This window comes from Homo sapiens, chromosome 16 (genome assembly GCF_000001405.40).
Source record: "Homo sapiens chromosome 16, GRCh38.p14 Primary Assembly".
NCBI classification, from domain to species: domain Eukaryota; kingdom Metazoa; phylum Chordata; class Mammalia; order Primates; family Hominidae; genus Homo; species Homo sapiens.
Window position 1 is genome coordinate 65,303,642 of NC_000016.10, and position 17,204 is coordinate 65,320,845.

The 17,204-nt window shown below is 39.6% G+C and overlaps 2 long non-coding RNA genes across 3 annotated transcripts in view, besides 2 other annotated features; one reads left to right on the plus strand and one right to left on the minus strand.

Moving 5' to 3' along the window:
• The window catches only part of LOC124903780 (uncharacterized), a 161,687-nt gene that overhangs the window by 71,598 nt on the left and 72,885 nt on the right, over nt 1-17,204 (plus strand). The window lies entirely within an intron of this gene.
• LINC00922 (long intergenic non-protein coding RNA 922) overlaps nt 1-17,204 on the minus strand; it is a 291,796-nt gene that overhangs the window by 19,140 nt on the left and 255,452 nt on the right. Inside the window, exon 8 of one of the 2 annotated variants that reach the window (NR_027755.2) lies at nt 7,773-7,906. This is a non-coding gene — a long non-coding RNA (long intergenic non-protein coding RNA 922). Of the gene's footprint in view, nt 1-7,772; nt 8,055-17,204 lie in introns of both variants that reach the window. The other variant, NR_174971.1, reaches the window with a different exon arrangement.
• Nucleotides 2,810-3,678: an enhancer, noted in NCBI's record as "OCT4-NANOG hESC enhancer chr16:65340354-65341222 (GRCh37/hg19 assembly coordinates)". NCBI's record gives its function as "activates a minimal SCP1, AML or CMV promoter by ChIP-STARR-seq in primed H9 embryonic stem cells {active_cell/tissue: H9 hESC(primed)}" and the evidence as "EXISTENCE:reporter gene assay evidence [ECO:0000049][PMID:30033119]".
• Nucleotides 14,989-15,700: an enhancer, noted in NCBI's record as "OCT4-NANOG-H3K27ac hESC enhancer chr16:65352533-65353244 (GRCh37/hg19 assembly coordinates)". NCBI's record gives its function as "activates a minimal SCP1, AML or CMV promoter by ChIP-STARR-seq in naive and primed H9 embryonic stem cells {active_cell/tissue: H9 hESC(naive and primed)}" and the evidence as "EXISTENCE:reporter gene assay evidence [ECO:0000049][PMID:30033119]".

A 17,204-nucleotide genomic window follows, 5' to 3' on the forward strand; every position in this document is an offset into this window, starting at 1 on the left:
ATAGGTTCATCAATTGTAAAAAAAAAAAAAAAAAAAAAAAATGCCATTGTGGTGCAGGATGTCAATAGTGGGGGAGGTTGTGCATTTGTGGGGGACAAGAGTAGTATAAGAACTCCATATACTTTTCACTCAATTTTGCTGTGAACCTAAAACTGGTCTATAAAAATAACATTTGCTAATTCAAAAAGGAAAATATAGTATTAAAAACTGAGTGCTCTCCAGAAAACGGACATAGCAAATACCAAAAAGTTAAAATAACAGCAATTAAAATAAAAATAACAACTAAGTGGTTAAACATTTACTCTGCACCCTGTCTCATTAACTCTTTATATGCATTATCTCATCTAATTCTTGCATCAGCCTGATGAGGTGTGTACTAGTATTTTCTTAAACTTGCAGATAAAGAAACTGAGTCACCAAGAGGGTAAGTCACTCCTGCCAGATGCACGTTATAGGTAGTAGAGTCAGGGTTGGCATTTAGTTCCTCTACCTTGCGCTTCGTCCCAAGACACATGCTAATGTCACATTTGTTTTCCAGATCTTGGTTAGAATGCTGATACATAAAAGTGGCCAGGACTATAAAATACAGAAGAACACTTGGAGTCTTAGATGGAAGAGGGGGGCTTCCTCCACCTCTGCAATACTGACATTTTAGACCTCATATTTCTTTATTGTGGGAAGCAGTCCTGTACATTCAGAATGTTTTGCAGCAGTTCCACTTCTACCTACTGTACGCCAATAGCACCTCCACCTTTAATGTGACAACCAAAAATGTCTCCAGACATAATGATTTTCCCCTGGGGGGCAAAATCCCCCCAGTGGAGAACCATTGCTTTACTACATGCCATCACTCCAGGTCTTGATATCAATCACAGAACCAGGCTTAATGTTTCTGTAACTACCAAATACCTAGGCCTTGCTTCACTGTGTTTTTGTCAATCTGACCTTTTCTAGCTGCCAACGATCTCTGTCCCAGCTCCATCAACAATAAAATGTAGATAATACTTTGCAGAAGTAATGTGAATTTTAAAGCACGACCTTCCTCATAGATGACAATGTCAAATAATATTTACTAAAAGACCAAGAGTATAATGATACTCAACAAATGCTGTTTATCTTTACTTTGCCCATCTCACCTAAAATGCTACAGTAAACAAAACTGAGCCCCCTCTTCTCCCCTAGTGAAATAACCTAATCACCCACAGACACTCTGAAAGAATGGATGTATTTTTTAAAAATGTCAATTCCTGAATTTGATGATTTTGCCAGTATACATTAAGTAGACATTTGGAAACATCTGAATAAAGAATGACGCTCCTTAGTTTTTAATCCATATGACTGTGCCTCTCAGACACAACCTAAAAATGACTTTCGTTAACTATGAAAGCTTCAATGGGCTATATGTGGACTGAGTCCATCCTTTCTTTTGTTTAAAACAGACCATGGTGTCATAGATTTATGTAACAATGTCTTAGAATCTGATGTGGATTAGAATTTATTTTACATTTCTGCCATAGAATTTCATTTTAATTGAAAAAGGAGATTTCTTTCTCTGTGTGTGTGTGTGTGTCTGTGTCTGTGCATCTGTGTATATACATATATGATGTCGGTATTTACTTTGTGTTTATATGTGTAAGTGTATGTTCATATATACTTTCATGTCTATACATATTTATGTACTTCTATGCATCAAGAGGAAAATTATATTGCTGACATAAAGCTATCTGTATCAGATGAAGATGGAAAAAGAAAGTTTAACATATTGGCCAATCTGCATAGAGAGCGCATACACAATTGCAGCCCATCTTGGGAGGCAAAAGCAGTACTTTCTTGCTTCTAATGGCTTGATAATAGCCATTATCCGCAACAATGTAAATGAAAAGAAAATAAAAAGAGGCATTTTTATGCACTGCCCATTAAGAGCAGCATGCATATAAACTCATGAACTTGGAAAATAAATAAACGGACTGGTTGCTAAGCAAAAGCTTGATTTCATTTCCAGTCCTATCGATGGGCATTTTGTCATTAAAAAGATAAAGCTGTTTAAGCTGTCCCAAGGGAAAGACTTAAAGTGGGATAAAAAAGAATCCAGTGGAGTATGCAGACCTGAGCCAATTTTAAATAATTGCCATTCCACCCTGAAGCCAGAGATTGTGTTAAGACGTGGCCCAGCAGCCACTGGGAGCAGGGCCTTCCTACAGGAGGTGCCACATACCCAATTTGTCACACCATGGAGCCCTATGGGAACAACCCCAAGGCAAAGATAGAGGAGTCCTTGCCTTCACTATGTGATAAAATGATGCTTAAAGACCTGTATATCTTCCTTGCTGGTTTGTCATGTGGCCTCATATATCTTTGGAATAGTGTCTGTGAATCATGGAATGAAACTCAAGAGGTCGTTTGGTCCAGCTGCTTGTCCTAACCTCTCTAAATCAATTTAGCTCCATAAGTCCCATTTGTATCAATCCACTAAAAGGTACTAACTTTATTTCTGGGTGCATTAACTCAGTAAATGACTTAATATATATGGAGTGCATAATAGTGCCTGTGCATAATAGACAGTCAATATATGACCATTTCTGCTGTTCCTTATATTTAACATTTTTTTAAAGTCTGCTGATGTAAGAAACTTGATTGCCTTTGAAATTAGACATAGCTACATTCCAATTATGACTGTGTGTTCTTGAGTGAGGACTTGGCATCTATGAGCCTTAGTTCCTTAATTTATAACACAGGGATGAGAATACTTCATGCATTTCATGATTGTTGTGAGAATTAAATGAGGAAATCCTTGCAAAAGGAGGGCACATAGTAAATTCTTAGTGGATGTCAGCTATTATTGTCATCACTGCTGTTATCATTTGCATCTCAATAGATGACATTCTGTTGCTGAAACTACAGACATCTCTGGGATAAAAAATGAATGGTACTTTTCTATTACTTATGCCTTGGAGTGATGTCATGTATTGAGTAATTTTCCTCTTGAGTGGAGCTGACGGCAGAGTTTTATGAGGAATGAGAGAGGGAGGATGATGAAGAGCAAGAAAGAGGATGAAGATCAAGATTGAGAACTTGGACTTTGTGTGAGAAAGGAGATCTGAGTAGCGACTACTCTCCTGGAGGATGGAAAAGAAGATTCAAGAGTGTTCAAGATCTCACTTTCATAGAATCAGCTGAACTATGTTCAGGGCTGGGGTGAGACCACAGACAAAGCTAGCAAGGTGCCTGGATTAGGGAGCTCAAGGTCTAGTCAGGGATAGAGGAATGTAAATGGGCCATTACAATACAAGTCTCAAGTACTTGGATGGCTTAGAAACTCACAGGCAGTGGCACTTAACTCTGACCCAAGGCAATGAGGAAGACTTCCTGGAGGCATATATATCTTAGAGGCTTCTGAAGAGTTCAGAGGACATAGGAAAAGACAGCAATTGCTCTGCCGCTTATAAAATGTAGAATAGCATGCTTAAACTTTCTGAGCTTCAGTCTTGTTTTTCTATAAAATGTGGATAACAGAATACGGACTATGATGATTATAGACATTATAATACATATTATACTTATATTAAGGTGCTTCATCAAAATTTCTTATTCATTTATTCAATGAATGCCAGTCTTTATTGCCAAGATGAGAAGCCTGGGCCAGTTACTCACCAACTCTGGTCTTCACTTTGCAATTGGCAATCTCTAAAATCCCATTCTTAGGGTGTACAATTTGATGAACAGGGCAAGACTGCTGGCAGATCAAACATCTCCCTCCTCTCTCTCTTGCTCTCTCTCTCTTTCTTTTCCACCCCTCTCTCTCCTGCTATTCAGTCCCTCCTTAAAAAACTTCAAACCCTGCTGAGTACAAGAAGGCATATTTAATGCCGGGCGCACACCCATCGGGGACCACTTCCCAGACCACAGCTTCTCCCTTCCTAATTAAAGTCGAGGCTTTGAAATGTTCAGTGCAGCTTTCTCTGAAGTTGCAGCTGACCAGTTTCTCCTGCTGCCTCTCAAACCTTTAATTTGTCAGTAAAATTGTTCGTTTTTCTTATGACTACTTGGGGTTTTTCATCCTCCTGTGGCTGCAGAAATGGACCCCGGTGAGCAATGCCTATTTTTACGAGAACTCCCTTGCACAACATTCGGGCTATCTCTGAAAACTGTTTCAAAGGGAAATGGATGAATGATTTCCTTCAAGGGCACCTGGGTACCTGGGGAATTTAAGTTTCCATGTTTTTTTATTTCCTTGAGGGCTAAGGATATATGTTGCTTTCTCCTAAACAGCCAGAACTGAAGCTCAATGCCAAAAAGTGCATTTTTCTCTAGGCCGTTGTTAAATCTCAATTTTGCCTTTGACCAGCTGTACAACTTGGGTAAGCTACCTGAAGTATTTGCAAGCCTCAGTTTCCTCATTGATATAACAGAGATTAAAATGTGACCTAATTGGGATGATTTGAGAATGATAATTACCAGCTCACTCTACATAGCTATGGTACAAATGTTGACAGTTTCCTGGCCTTCACAAAAAGCACAATTTAGTGAGCAGCTAGAAATTTGTGTGGGATTTTGGTGCCTAAATCCCCTCCTCCATTGTGGATTTGTGGACTTAAGGGGCTACGGGCACAATGAAGCCATAATTATGGGGAAACATAGTATCAATTATATTCTTAGTTCAGGCATGACTCCATAACTTCCTTTATAGCACTAAAGAGACTGTGGTGGAGCTGTGGCTGTCTTCCTCATCTCTCCTCTTTAAATCTCCAGCAGTTGGGCCTGAATGGTCCTCTTCCCAGATCAGCTGCATGGATGAGGCAGGCTGGTCTGAAGAGTGCACTGATAACTAGAAGCTCATTACTTTTTAGCACAGTGTGTGCCATCCATTAGGGAATCGTGGCCCATTGAATGTTCAGCAGCTCCACTGTTTGCTCCTGAAAAGGAGTTAATCATGTGGTAGGTGGGGAGGGGCAGAAGCACAGAGCACAGAGGGTTAACAGTGTTGGTCTGTTTTTTTTTCCCACTGCCCATATACAAGGCTAACATACAAGGTCAAGGGACTACATGAAACAGCCCCACCCTGACCAAGCAGGGCAGATGTATATAGATCAAAACAGACAAGTATGAGTGCAACTGGCTATATTGTGTAATCAAGGGTTAGAAAAGGGCTGACTCTTTATCAACCCAGTCACAGACACTATGTATATGACAAACAATCAGGAAGAACAAGGGCGAAGTGGTCTCAGGAAGCAACCAGCTCTTAGGGAAATTGCTCTGTGCCCTGTAGGTTCTTACTCCTGCTTCATGTGTAGGAATTTATTTCCAGATAGCAGCTCTGTAGGCCTTTTTCTGGGGTCCACCTTTTAAAAATTGAATTTGGCGAAGCTTATCTTAGTACCTACTGTATACAAGGGTATGGTAGGTACAGTAGGAAAGATAAAAATGCAAAGTCCCAAACCATCTAATGGTCATCTGCTACAGAGGATTAAGAAAGATCTCTAGAGTAAGACTCTGGGAGATGGGTTGCAAGCTGAGTATCGTTAGGCAAGTCACTTCTCTCTAAGCCTCAGCTTCCTCATCTGCAAAATGGGGTTAATAAAACCTATTTCTCAGGGCTGCTAATATGATTTCACATAAGCAACTGACACACAGAAGTCACTCAGTAAATATTAGTTTCCCATTCCTACACTACCCACAGGAGAACTCAGATACTGGGCACCATCCTTAGAGAAATGGGAAATGTGGGGATAATAAATCCCAACATCTGCTTGTTGGACCTTTTATCTGTACTTGGAGACAGGGTGTTTATGGAGACAAGGTAGATTTGCAGTGATGCATTATTAATAGTTTGTGATACGTTCCGGGTGATGGATATCTACCCCCAAGGCATACAGCGACAGCTGCATTCTCTCTCAGGGAAAACAACAGCATCAAGCCCGAGCAGAGAGCTCCAAGGGAAAAAAGAACAAAAAACTTCAGATGCCAATTATAGTCCATGTTGCCTTGCTTGGATTACTAGAAGGATCTCTCCCACCTCCCACTCCATCAACATCATAAATCTTTTGCCTTGAATTCACAGCACTTCTGTTTAGAAGTTCTTGCTGGCATAGACACTACACTGACAAGAGTTGCAAAATATCCCCTTCTTTCTGGTTGCTTTATGATAAAGTTTAGAGACTCACAGTACATCACTACCTACTATCTTTTCTGTGCAATGTGACAAAATATTTGTCCTGAGTAAAGATTGGTTGTCTCTGCAGCAGCTCAGTCGGTGGTGATTTCAGAACACAAAAACATGGAGTTATGCTGTAGAATTAACAACTTTTTAAAGTGACTGGAGGGATTAGAGATTGAAGAGATTGTTGATCCCCACTCTTCCTGTCTTACAGGTGGGAAGTGGTGAAGGGTTGTGCCAAAGGTTGCATTGGAAATTAGAGGCTAGAGAAAGGATAAGAGCTTTGGGTTCAATACCATGTATGCACTCATATTTATTAGAGCTGGTCCAAGATCTGATTTTATGAAGGTGCAAAGTATATCTGATCTTGGGAGTGTAAGCAAGGAGACATTGCTCTCCCATCAGACACTAATTTTTCTTTACTTACTCTCTGATTCTTGCAGCATCAATTGCAGGTGTGACACCTTTCATTCATTTACATTGGGACAGACTAATGCTGTAGACATAACACTGCACTTGGAGACCAGCTAGTTGCATTCTTACTGTAATCATGGAGAATATACCTAAACTCTTTAAACTTTTTTTTCACAAGTAAAACATTTAATAACAATCTAAAAGTTAATTTTTTTTTTTTTTTTTTTTTTTTGAGATGGAGTTTCACTCTTGTCGCCCAGGCTGTAGTGCAATGGTACGTTCTTGGCTCACTGCAACCTCTGCCTCTTGGGTTCAAGCAATTCTCCTGCCTCAGCTATCCAGTAGCTGGGATTACAGGTGCCTGCCACCATGCCCAGCTAATTTTTTTTTTTTTTTTGTATTTTTAGTAGAGACAGGGTTTCACCATGTTGGCCAGGCTGAGTTAATTTTATTTTTGTGACTCACTCATCTACTATTTATAGGGCAACCACCAAATGCCTAGTGATATCTCTGTGCTGGGATATGTATGAAGTGGAATACAACACTGTCCCTCTATTTTAGAACTTTGAATTCTACTGCTGGTTCCGCTCTGACCAGACTCTAGGATTCTGTTTTTTTGGTTTTTGTTTTTAATTTTTCAGTGATCTGAGAATTTGTTATCATGGTAAAGAGTTAATTACTTTTTGAGATGGCCCCAGTAAAGGGTGATTTCTGTTTACCTTGAAGAGTTGAATGTCAGTAGCCAAGACTAGGCTTGGTTTTGTAGCAGGTATTAATAGAAGTGAGTTTATTGGGAAGATGTGCCTGGTTGTACATTTGCAACTATTAGGATCAATGCATTCAGGCTACTACCTCCCCTAATTGTTCTCTCCTTCTTTCATCCTTCTCTCCCTCCTACTTTCAAACATTCACTTTTTGTGGACTTGATCTCAGCATTATAAGAGCTACCAAAATGAATTACTCTTTACTCATGAAGCCCATTACCTATATGGGGGATGTTAGGGTTTATCCTAGGAATAGTCAGGAGGCGAGGGACATGCAAAGTGTGGATATTACTTAAAATGTTGACATCTTCAACAACATGATAGGAGGGATATCGCCCTTTGTGATACATTAATCTAAGGCAGAAGCTTTTAAAGCTTATAATTTGGTTGTAGCTAGGTTATGATGGCTGAGAACATTTCTTATCTATGGAGGTACTCACCTTCGTGAGTGAAGATGACATGCCTGGAAGCCCATGCCTTCACGAATGTATGCCAGCTTTCTTCTAAAAGGTCCAGTCTTAGATGAACACTTCCTGCATGTGCATGGGCATGTGTGTAGATCTGTAGGTGCAGGCTGTGGAAGCACAGATTCACAGGCCATTACTGTTCCGTCTGGGGCATGTTTCTAAGATATGCCTCTACTTAGTCTGTCCATCAGAACACTGTGCTTTCTCAGGAGGCAATACTTCCATCATATGTTTACCCTTAACAGGTGGAACGTCCTGTTAGAAAGATGTGTTGAATATTTAATACAGACAATGAAGTTCATAAGGACTTTGTTTAAAATATCCTTTGGTGTTTGTTTGTTTTGTTTGTTTTTGAGACAGAGTTACACGCTCTTGTCGCCCAGGCTGGAGTGCAATGGCACAATCTCGGCTCACCGCGACCTCCACCTCCCGGGTTCAAGTGATTCTCCTGCCTCAGCCTTCTGAGTAGCTGGCGTGCACCACCACTCCCCACTAATTTTGTATTTTTAGTAGAGATGGGGTTTCTCTGTGTTGGTCAGGCTGGTCTCAAACTCCCGACCTCAGGTGATCTGCCCACCTTATCCTCCCAAAGTGCTAGGATTACAGGCGTGAGATACCGTGCCCAGCCTCCTTTGGTGGTTTTGATGATGGTCATTCTGAGGAGACAGTGACCTAGTGCCTTTATCTGAAGAACTTGTATCACTGTGAGGGGGACATTTAAGGCCTTGTGTTATCTTGCAACAGAGTTGAGGGTCACACTTAAGGATCTCATCTCTGTCTGAAGGAAGCTTTCTCATTCTCCCTGCTTCCTTCTTGCAGATCCAGAGAACCAGCCCTGAGTCATTTCCACTTTGAAACTGCCACCTCCCACATTTCCCAGTTTCTCGTGGCTGAATCTGCTGCCATTTGAAAATTTTTCTGATTCTCCTGGTTAAGCTCATTGAACTCTTCATTTGTTTGTTTTTAAAACTAGAAGTCTGGAGGAAGAAGAAAGTTAACTATTATTTATTGGTCTTAATTTTTTTTCAAATATGACTTTAAAACAGATTCATTGCTAAGTCCTTTTTCTGAATTATTTTATTGAATGTCCCTAACAACACTATATGTAAATATTATTTTATCTCCAAGTTATGGATAAAGAAACTGAGGTATCAGATTAAATGACTTATCTAATATTACACAGCCAGTAAGAAGTTAAGCTTTTTTAGACATGATTACTCACATGCTTGGGGAAATAGAGATGAAGTAGAAAAAAATTATAAAAGCTGAGAATTATGAAATTTACCAAATTCTTAAAAGAATTTGAACTTTAAAAAAATTGAACATTTTTTTGTTTGGTCCCTTTGGTATAAAGCTCTTCTATTCCTCTCTTCTTCATTATCTTTATGTCCTCATCCTTTACCCAAGGAAGGTCAAATTATGTCATTCTTTGGCAAAAGCTATGTTACCATAATTGTTTAAAAAATGCATGATATAGTTAACTTCTCAAAATAGTTCAAAGTTTTGAAAATGAATCATGTTTCAAACAGTCACCAACTGGAGGCCAATTTGCCTGCCATTAAGTGGTTTCCTAGATGCAGAATTTACCAAATGATTTCACTTTATTCTGTCATTTATTCCCAAAAGCACTTAAGAATCACGAAGGAACTGAACACATCTTGAGGAATTCATAATGCTAATAATCATGGCTGTCATTTGCGGAACCCCTTTACGCTCCAGGCACTTTCTTAAGCTCTTTGTACATGTTGCCTTATTTGACTATCATGGCAACTCTTTCAGGGAGGGATTACTCTCTCAAGCTTTATTAGTGAGGATGATAAGGTGCAGAAAGGTTAAGTAATGTTCCTAGGGTTCCTACAAAACAGGAATGAGCAGAGCAGGAATAAGAACAGAAGTGTCCATGCCTATGAAGGTCACACAGATGGAGGAAGCTGAACCGGTCTTCCATTGTGTGGCCAGATCTTTCAGACAATCCCTTTAATGACCTACTAACTATAACCCAGACAATATCTCATCATATATAATGGTCTTAAAGGGAGACTTTTCTTCTAAAACTTGAGTGAGAATAGCACAAGTTTGGCCAATTCGGGCAATTTTCCATCTTCATGCAATAAAATGGTGAGATTTCAATCAACACACAAATGGCTCAGTCAACACTATACTGACTAATTGGACTGTACTTCTGGGACAGTTGCAAAGTGGACTAATGGGAGCACACCCACATTAGACACCAGAGCAATAGTATAATCCTTGTAAAATTGTTTCATTTAGCAAAAAGAGTAATTGAGTATTTCTGGAAATAGTCGCTAGTTTTCTCCTTGACATAGACAGGATACTTTTCTTCTTTTCACCTCCTTTTTTCCTCTGAAAACAATAGGTATGTGATTAAAGGAGGTCTTTGAAACATGCAGATTTCTAGGACATTGTTTTATATCTCTAAAATAAAATCTACTATGCTCACTACCAGGGTGATGGGATCCATACTCCAAACCTCAGCATCAAGCAATATTCCAATGCAACACATCCGCACCTGTACCCCCTATATCTAAAATAAATGTTGACATTTTCATAAAATAATAATAAAAATATTTATTTCCCCAACACAACTTTTAAATATGAAATCAGTTTTAAAATGGTGTGTATGTGCATGTCCATGTGTGGAGTTAAATTGAGTACACGGCAAGGAATGTTGGCGAGTTCTCAAGTTGGAATATTTAACATTGAAATATTTGCAATAGTGGTGTACTGAGGGCTTATTATGTGTGTTAAACATTTTGTGTACATTACTTCTAATAAATATATGTGATAGAATAATATCTCTACTTTACAGATGAGCAAACTGAGGTTTAGTGAGGCTGAATAGCTTGCTCAAGGACAACCTTTTCAAAAGCCCGTATGTATCTGATGCCAAACTATTCCCTTTTTAACTGACCAGACTGCCTCTCCAGCCCACGCTGAAGAACACATATCTATCTAGTGCTAGCCCACATGAAAGGAAGGTCACCATCCTGAGGCAATGTGATCCAATATCAGTCATATGTTCAGTCAGACACAACCTTAGAGTGAAACCAAGTTGCAGCACATACAAAACCAAGAGACTTGGTTGAATGAAGGTGTTTTCTTCAGTGAGTCTCTATAGACAGTGAGGTCCTAGAGAACCTGAAACCATTTTAGAAGATAGGTCAATAAGACAAAGACCAAAGCTCTGATTCTTTGTGTCACCCAAGTGACCCACATGATGATCTTATGATTCTGATTAAATAGTACGATGTCATTTTATCCCCAAGTATGTTCCAGCACCAGGCAGCCTCTAGGTCCCTCTGAGTAGGCAGACTTTGCATTCCAGTGACAGACATCATTAAGAAAATATTTCTACTCTCCAAACCAGAGGGAGGAGAATGCTGGAATTTATTATCTCCTTATGCTTAAACACATCCCAGAACAACTTAATAAGGCAAAAATTCTCCCCATTTTACAGACGAGCAAATTGAGGATTAAAGAAGATTATGCTTTCCCCATGGTTCAAAGCTAAATCTGAAATTATAAACCTGCCTCTCTGGACTCCAAAGCCAGTCTTATTCTAACACTGTTCCTTCCTGACTGGTTCCTTTTAGCATTCAGATCTCCTTGGTGTTAAGCCAGCGAAGAATGGCTCTCCCCCCACAAGTTGAGCATAAACTCTGAAGAGCTTAGTTTAGCCCTCTGGGAGGTATTCTCTCTTGGATCTCTGATGCAGAGTTTGGTTGCAAAGTTGGATCCATGTATGAGGGAATGACGCTGCTGGGGATTGGTGGAGAGTCCACTGGTCTGACGCCAGCTGGCTCAGGGGACCATCTCTCCTCCCTTTCCTGGAGCAAGCAGTGTTATGTCTGGCCATGCTTCTCTGCTTTGATGCCCATTTCCACAGTCATTTCAAGTCTTCCCACTCCTCAAACTGAGCATTTAGACTCTCATGGATCACCCCTTTGATATTTCTAGCCACGTAGCTTCAGCTTCAAAAACAAATCAGGAATGACATTCTGTGACTATATTTTCAGCTATAGCTCATAATTTGGTTTAAAACTTGTCATTGTCTAAGAAACATATCCCTGTGCAGAGAACCCGTTGGACACCCGGATGAAATTGACTAAATAAAAGCAGTTTCACTGAACAATTTGCAAATATCACTGCTTCTTGCCAATCCTTTTTGGCAAAACTGTCTTCAGTGACTCGAGAGTTTTTCCAGCCTGAAAGAAATTTGAGTTACCTTATGCTTTCCTCTCTACATTTTTCTGATATAATACTTCCATTAAAGCCACATGTCTCAGACAATGGAAATATCATTTAGCAAAACACTAACATTAATTTTGCAGGAGATATTATTCAGTATTTTGTTGTTGTTGTTTGTTTTGTTTTGGGACACAGTCTCACTCTGTCGCCCAGGCTAGAGTTCAGTGGCGTGATCTTGGCTCACTGCAACCTCCACCTCCCAGTTCAAGCGATTCTCCTGCCTCAGCCTCCCAAGTAGCTGGGATTACAGGTGACCACAGCCACACCTGGCTAATTTTTGTATTTTTAGTAGAGACAGAGTTTCACCACGTTGGCCAGGCTGGTCTCAAACTCCTGATCTCAGATGATCTGCCCACCTTGACTTCCTAAAGTGCTGGGATTACAGGCACGAGCCACTGCTCCAGCCTCAGTTCTCCACCCCGCCCCCGCCACAGGAAGATGGACCTAATTTTAGAGCCAAAAGCAATATTCATTAAAGATAGTTTGCACAGCACAGTCAAGGTATGCTTGCACTCGTGTGGTGATAGGCAAGAAGGAGTTACTTGAGCCATATTTCCTGAGGAAAAATGATGAGGTATTTTCTGTCCCATCAAGGTTGAAAGTGCAGGAAGGGTCTTTGGGATAGGAAAGAAATAGGGCAGGAAGTGTAATTGTGAAACTCCTGGCATGGACATCAACAGCCAAGGTTTCTAGTTTAAATCTAACTAACAATGGGTAGTGTTTTGTTATAAATTAAATATGAAGATATGCTCACAACATTAAGCAAAATTAAGTTAAAATTTAAGAAGGGAATTTACAGAAAAGAAAAGAAAAGAAGAACTAGACAAAAATCACAGCCCTTGTGGAGCTTACATTATTTCTTAGATGAGTCACTTGGCTAGTTTAAGACTTGGAATTTTTATCTATAAGATTGGGTGAAGAGGAAGAAGCACAACCTAAATTAGTACTTCCGTGACTGTGTGCCAGACCCCACACGAAACTCAAGACAATATGTCATTAGCCCAATTTTCCACTTGACAAACACCATAGCTCCTTCATTTACTCATTATTTTGAGACATATTTTAGTGGCACTTATTCAGGGAAGCCGCCATTAAGGAATAAAACAATCCCTTTCCTTCCTTTACAAAGCTGCTAGTCTACTGGCTGAGATCACATGTGAACAGCTGGACCAGGAAGTCTGGACTCCTCCCAGTGCCCTGTTGTAGTGAGGACAGTCTCCGTTGAGGCCTGATCTTCAAGCATAATTACTACTGGCTAGTGTGCTGGTTTGGATGATCAGTTATATGCTTACCCTCCCCAAGATTCACAGGGTTTCTTCGAGGACTTAGAGCTACACTATTTTTTCGGAGACCCAAGTGAAACCAGGCCAGGAAAACAGCCAAAAGTTTCAGTCCAACAGATTCTTTAAAAGTTTCTGGAATAAACACTTTGCTGGCCCATAGGAGACATAAAAGTTTGGAGCTTTTAAAAGGTGCTTATGAGACAATCTAAGCCAGAATGCTCAGCTAACAGATGAGAGGAGAGGCCCAGCTCAACATGAATAAACAGCAGACCCATGGAAATAACCAAGTTTTCTACACTCCTGTCCATTCTTCCCTCAGTCTTTTTAATGTCTCCATTTGAGCATGGTCATCAAAAGGATGCGTAAGAGCAATGGAGTACGGGAATCTTGCAAGATGGTGCTGTCCGTACTTTGAGGGCATTTCTGCAGGGAGAGAAAGAACCAAACTTCCCACTGAAGAAGAGTCTACAAGACTAACCTGCTTTCCTTCATTCTTTCAGTTCACTTTTTTTTGTTTTTGATTGATGTTTTTATTTTTTTATTTTAAGACGTCTCTGTCGTCCAGGCTAGAGTGCAATGGCATGATCTTGGCTCACTGTACCCTCCACCTCCCAGGTTCAAGCGATTCTCCTGCCTCAGCCTCCCAAGTAGCTGGCATTACAGGTGCCCGCCACTGTGCCCAGCTAATTTTTTGTATTTTTAGTAGAGACAGGGTTTCACCATGTTGGCTAGGCTGGTCTTGAACTCCTGACCTCAGGTGATCTGTCCACCTCAGCCTCCCAAAGTGCTGGGATTACAGGCATGAGCCACCATGCCCAGCCTTCAATTTGCTTTTAAATTATTAGTTTTTTTCTTTTGCAAAAGTACGGTGAGTTTTTTTTGACAGTAGAATACATACTAAAATGTAATTATATAGATATATAATACATATCAAACCCCTAATTCTACCACAAACAGATAAGCCTGATTAAACTCCCAGGGATATATCCTGACAGGCATTAACTATGCTTACATATACTTTGTTACTATAATAAGATCACACTGTTCATATTATTAAGCAGTCTTTTTTTTTTTTTTAATTTGTTGATTTGTTTCTAAACCCATTTGACCATATGTCTCATCTTACTGGTATGGTTCTTTGAGTCTTTGAAAGGTGATTTGTGGAGGACAAGAAAGGCTTTGTAGGCACTCCCTGCCCTCATCCTTGGAATATCCCTTCCCCGATCTTCTCCTGATGCCAGGAATTCCATTAGCGAGTCCGCATGTGTGTTGATGCACGGATTAGCAGGCAGATGCATGCAGGAGAGGTCGACATGAGGCCCTAATCAGTAATTGAAATCATAGCCAGTGTAGCTGATGGGATCCTACTCAGCAGGCAGCTGGAGAGGAGGTTTCTGGCAGGCGGGAGAAAGGACCCAGAATGGAGCGTGATTTGTGTGTCACTAGGAGGAAAGTGAAGCGAGAGCTCCAGATACTTCTCCTCTGGAAGCCCAGCAGGGGAAGGTGAAGGAGCTACACGAAATATTTGAACTTAGAAACTCCAAAAGGAGGAGCCCAAGAGAATGCAGAGTAGAGGAAAAACAAACAAACAAAAAACCCAGAAAACTCACCCTGCCAAGAGGGAACCTTTCATGAGTGCCCTCAGCTTTGTTATTAAAATTGCAGTCATAATAATATTGCTGTTCATATCATTCATTCATTTACTGATTTGGTGGTTTATTTGCCACAATTTATGCAAAGCCTGTGGTGTGCCAGGCATTTCCCCACATGCTGGCTTGAGCTAATGAGCACAGCAGACATGGTCCTGCCTGATGCCATGCTGACAACCCAGTGCTGAAGTTGGACTTTTAACACACAGACACACAGATAATTACATAATTAAAACTCCTTATAAGTGCTAAGGGTAAAGGAGGGAAATCACAATGTCTTATAAGACAGAATAACAGAACAAGACATAACTTAGACTGCAGGGTCAGGATGGCCTGTTGACCCAGTGATATTTAAAGGAAATCTGCAGAATGAATAAGAATCAAGCAGTCAAATCCACAAGAAAGGGCTCTCCAGGGTGTGAAGAGCCTGAATAAAGGCCTGGAGGCAGGAAAGAGTACAGCTCAATGGAAGGTCAGAAAGTCTGTTTAATGTGGCTGGAGTTTCTCCAGCAGTTAGAGGGGTAGGTAGGGGTGAAGGCCCTATAGGCTCTCTGTTAAGGATTTTTGGTGTTTGAAGAATTTTCTGCAGAAAAGTGACATTTCTCAATTTATTTATTTTTAAAATAATTCTAACTATGGAGAATTTTTATCCAATACATTCTTCACTTATTTCTTGTTCATTACCACTCTATAAGCAAGATAAGAAAATAAATACCTATTTAAAAAAAAAAAACTAGAATATGGGTGTTATCTCTCTGAGTTTAGTCATTACTCCATGGAAATTTTCTGAAATTCTGAAAAGGTAGATCTATTCTCAGCAAGGCCAAAGTTGTGCTTCTGCCTAAATAATGGCTCATATTTCTGGAACACTTATTATTTGCTACATGTTTTATTGTGCACATGTACCCTAGAACTTAAAATATAATTATATATATATATATATATATATAAAAGAAATTTGTATAGATGTTTCTCTTTTAATTTTTTTAAAATGAAATTCTTATAGCAACCCTATGCAGGAAATGTGATTATTCTTATTTGACAAACGAGTGTCTTAACAGACTCACTCCATCCCCACAATAAAGCAGAATCCCTTTACCTGGACTCTGTGCTACTGCTAATTTTGCTTCAGGCTATTGTCCCGGGAAGCCCGTGGGTCCAAATGTCTCGTGCATTCCTAAAATGGTTTAAATCTGGGCTCAAATAATTTGAGCTACAGGTCAGACTGTGGACCTTTAAAACAGCTTTCTCATCTGTCTAGAGAAAGTACTTCAGTATGTGAGGGGAAGTTTCTGGGTGTCTAGAAAACCTTATCAGGATTGGGGGATGCTTATCAGCTGCTTTTGTCTACTGCTGCCTGGGCTCCAGTGACAGCTGATGTCTTACAAAGGGATAACGTTGGTTGGGGATACTCACTGACAGCAGCAAGACTGGCAGTAATCTCAACCTTTGCCTTCAGACTAGAGCAGACCTCATCAATCAACCTATCCATCAATGTATGGGTACCTGTTAAGACGTTCAGGATCCAGTTGTAAGGTAATACTTAGGTTCAACAGAAAAATACCATTTCCTGGATAGCAAGGCAAACATTCTTGCAAGGGAAAATGAAATCAATTTATACTGTTCCACTTAACAATAATTAGAAAAAATATGAACTGCAAACAGTAAATTACAAAACAACCTAAGCAATTCTAAAAAGACAATTTTAAAGAAATAACTGTTTTTTTTTCAGTGTTTTCCACAAGATCTCTGTTTGTTGTGTGTACACACACAGATATGCAGATAAGCCCACGGGATCTCAAACTGATTTATATAGATGGTCATCACTTCAATTCTATAAATTTTTCTTTTTGTACAAATTAAGTCTAGGGGGACACATAAAACATATCAGTTATTTGGGTGTTTACTTTTATTAATAACATTTATATATATTCAATTATAGTTCAAAAATAGTCTGGGATAAGTTGAAACAAAAATTTTAAAGCCCTACCTGACAAATACAACAGATTTTGCTATTCTGGAAAATTGCAATTTTTTTCTTCATCATACTTTTTGAACTTTTATTGATTGTTGTTCAAATAGAATGCTTGTTCATAAATCAAAATTCAGAAAAGAGTTTAAGAACAAAAGGTGCAACTAGACCAAAATGCAAATAAAGCTATTTTCAGAGGTAATATATTTTTTCAGTCTGTTAAATCTATGCA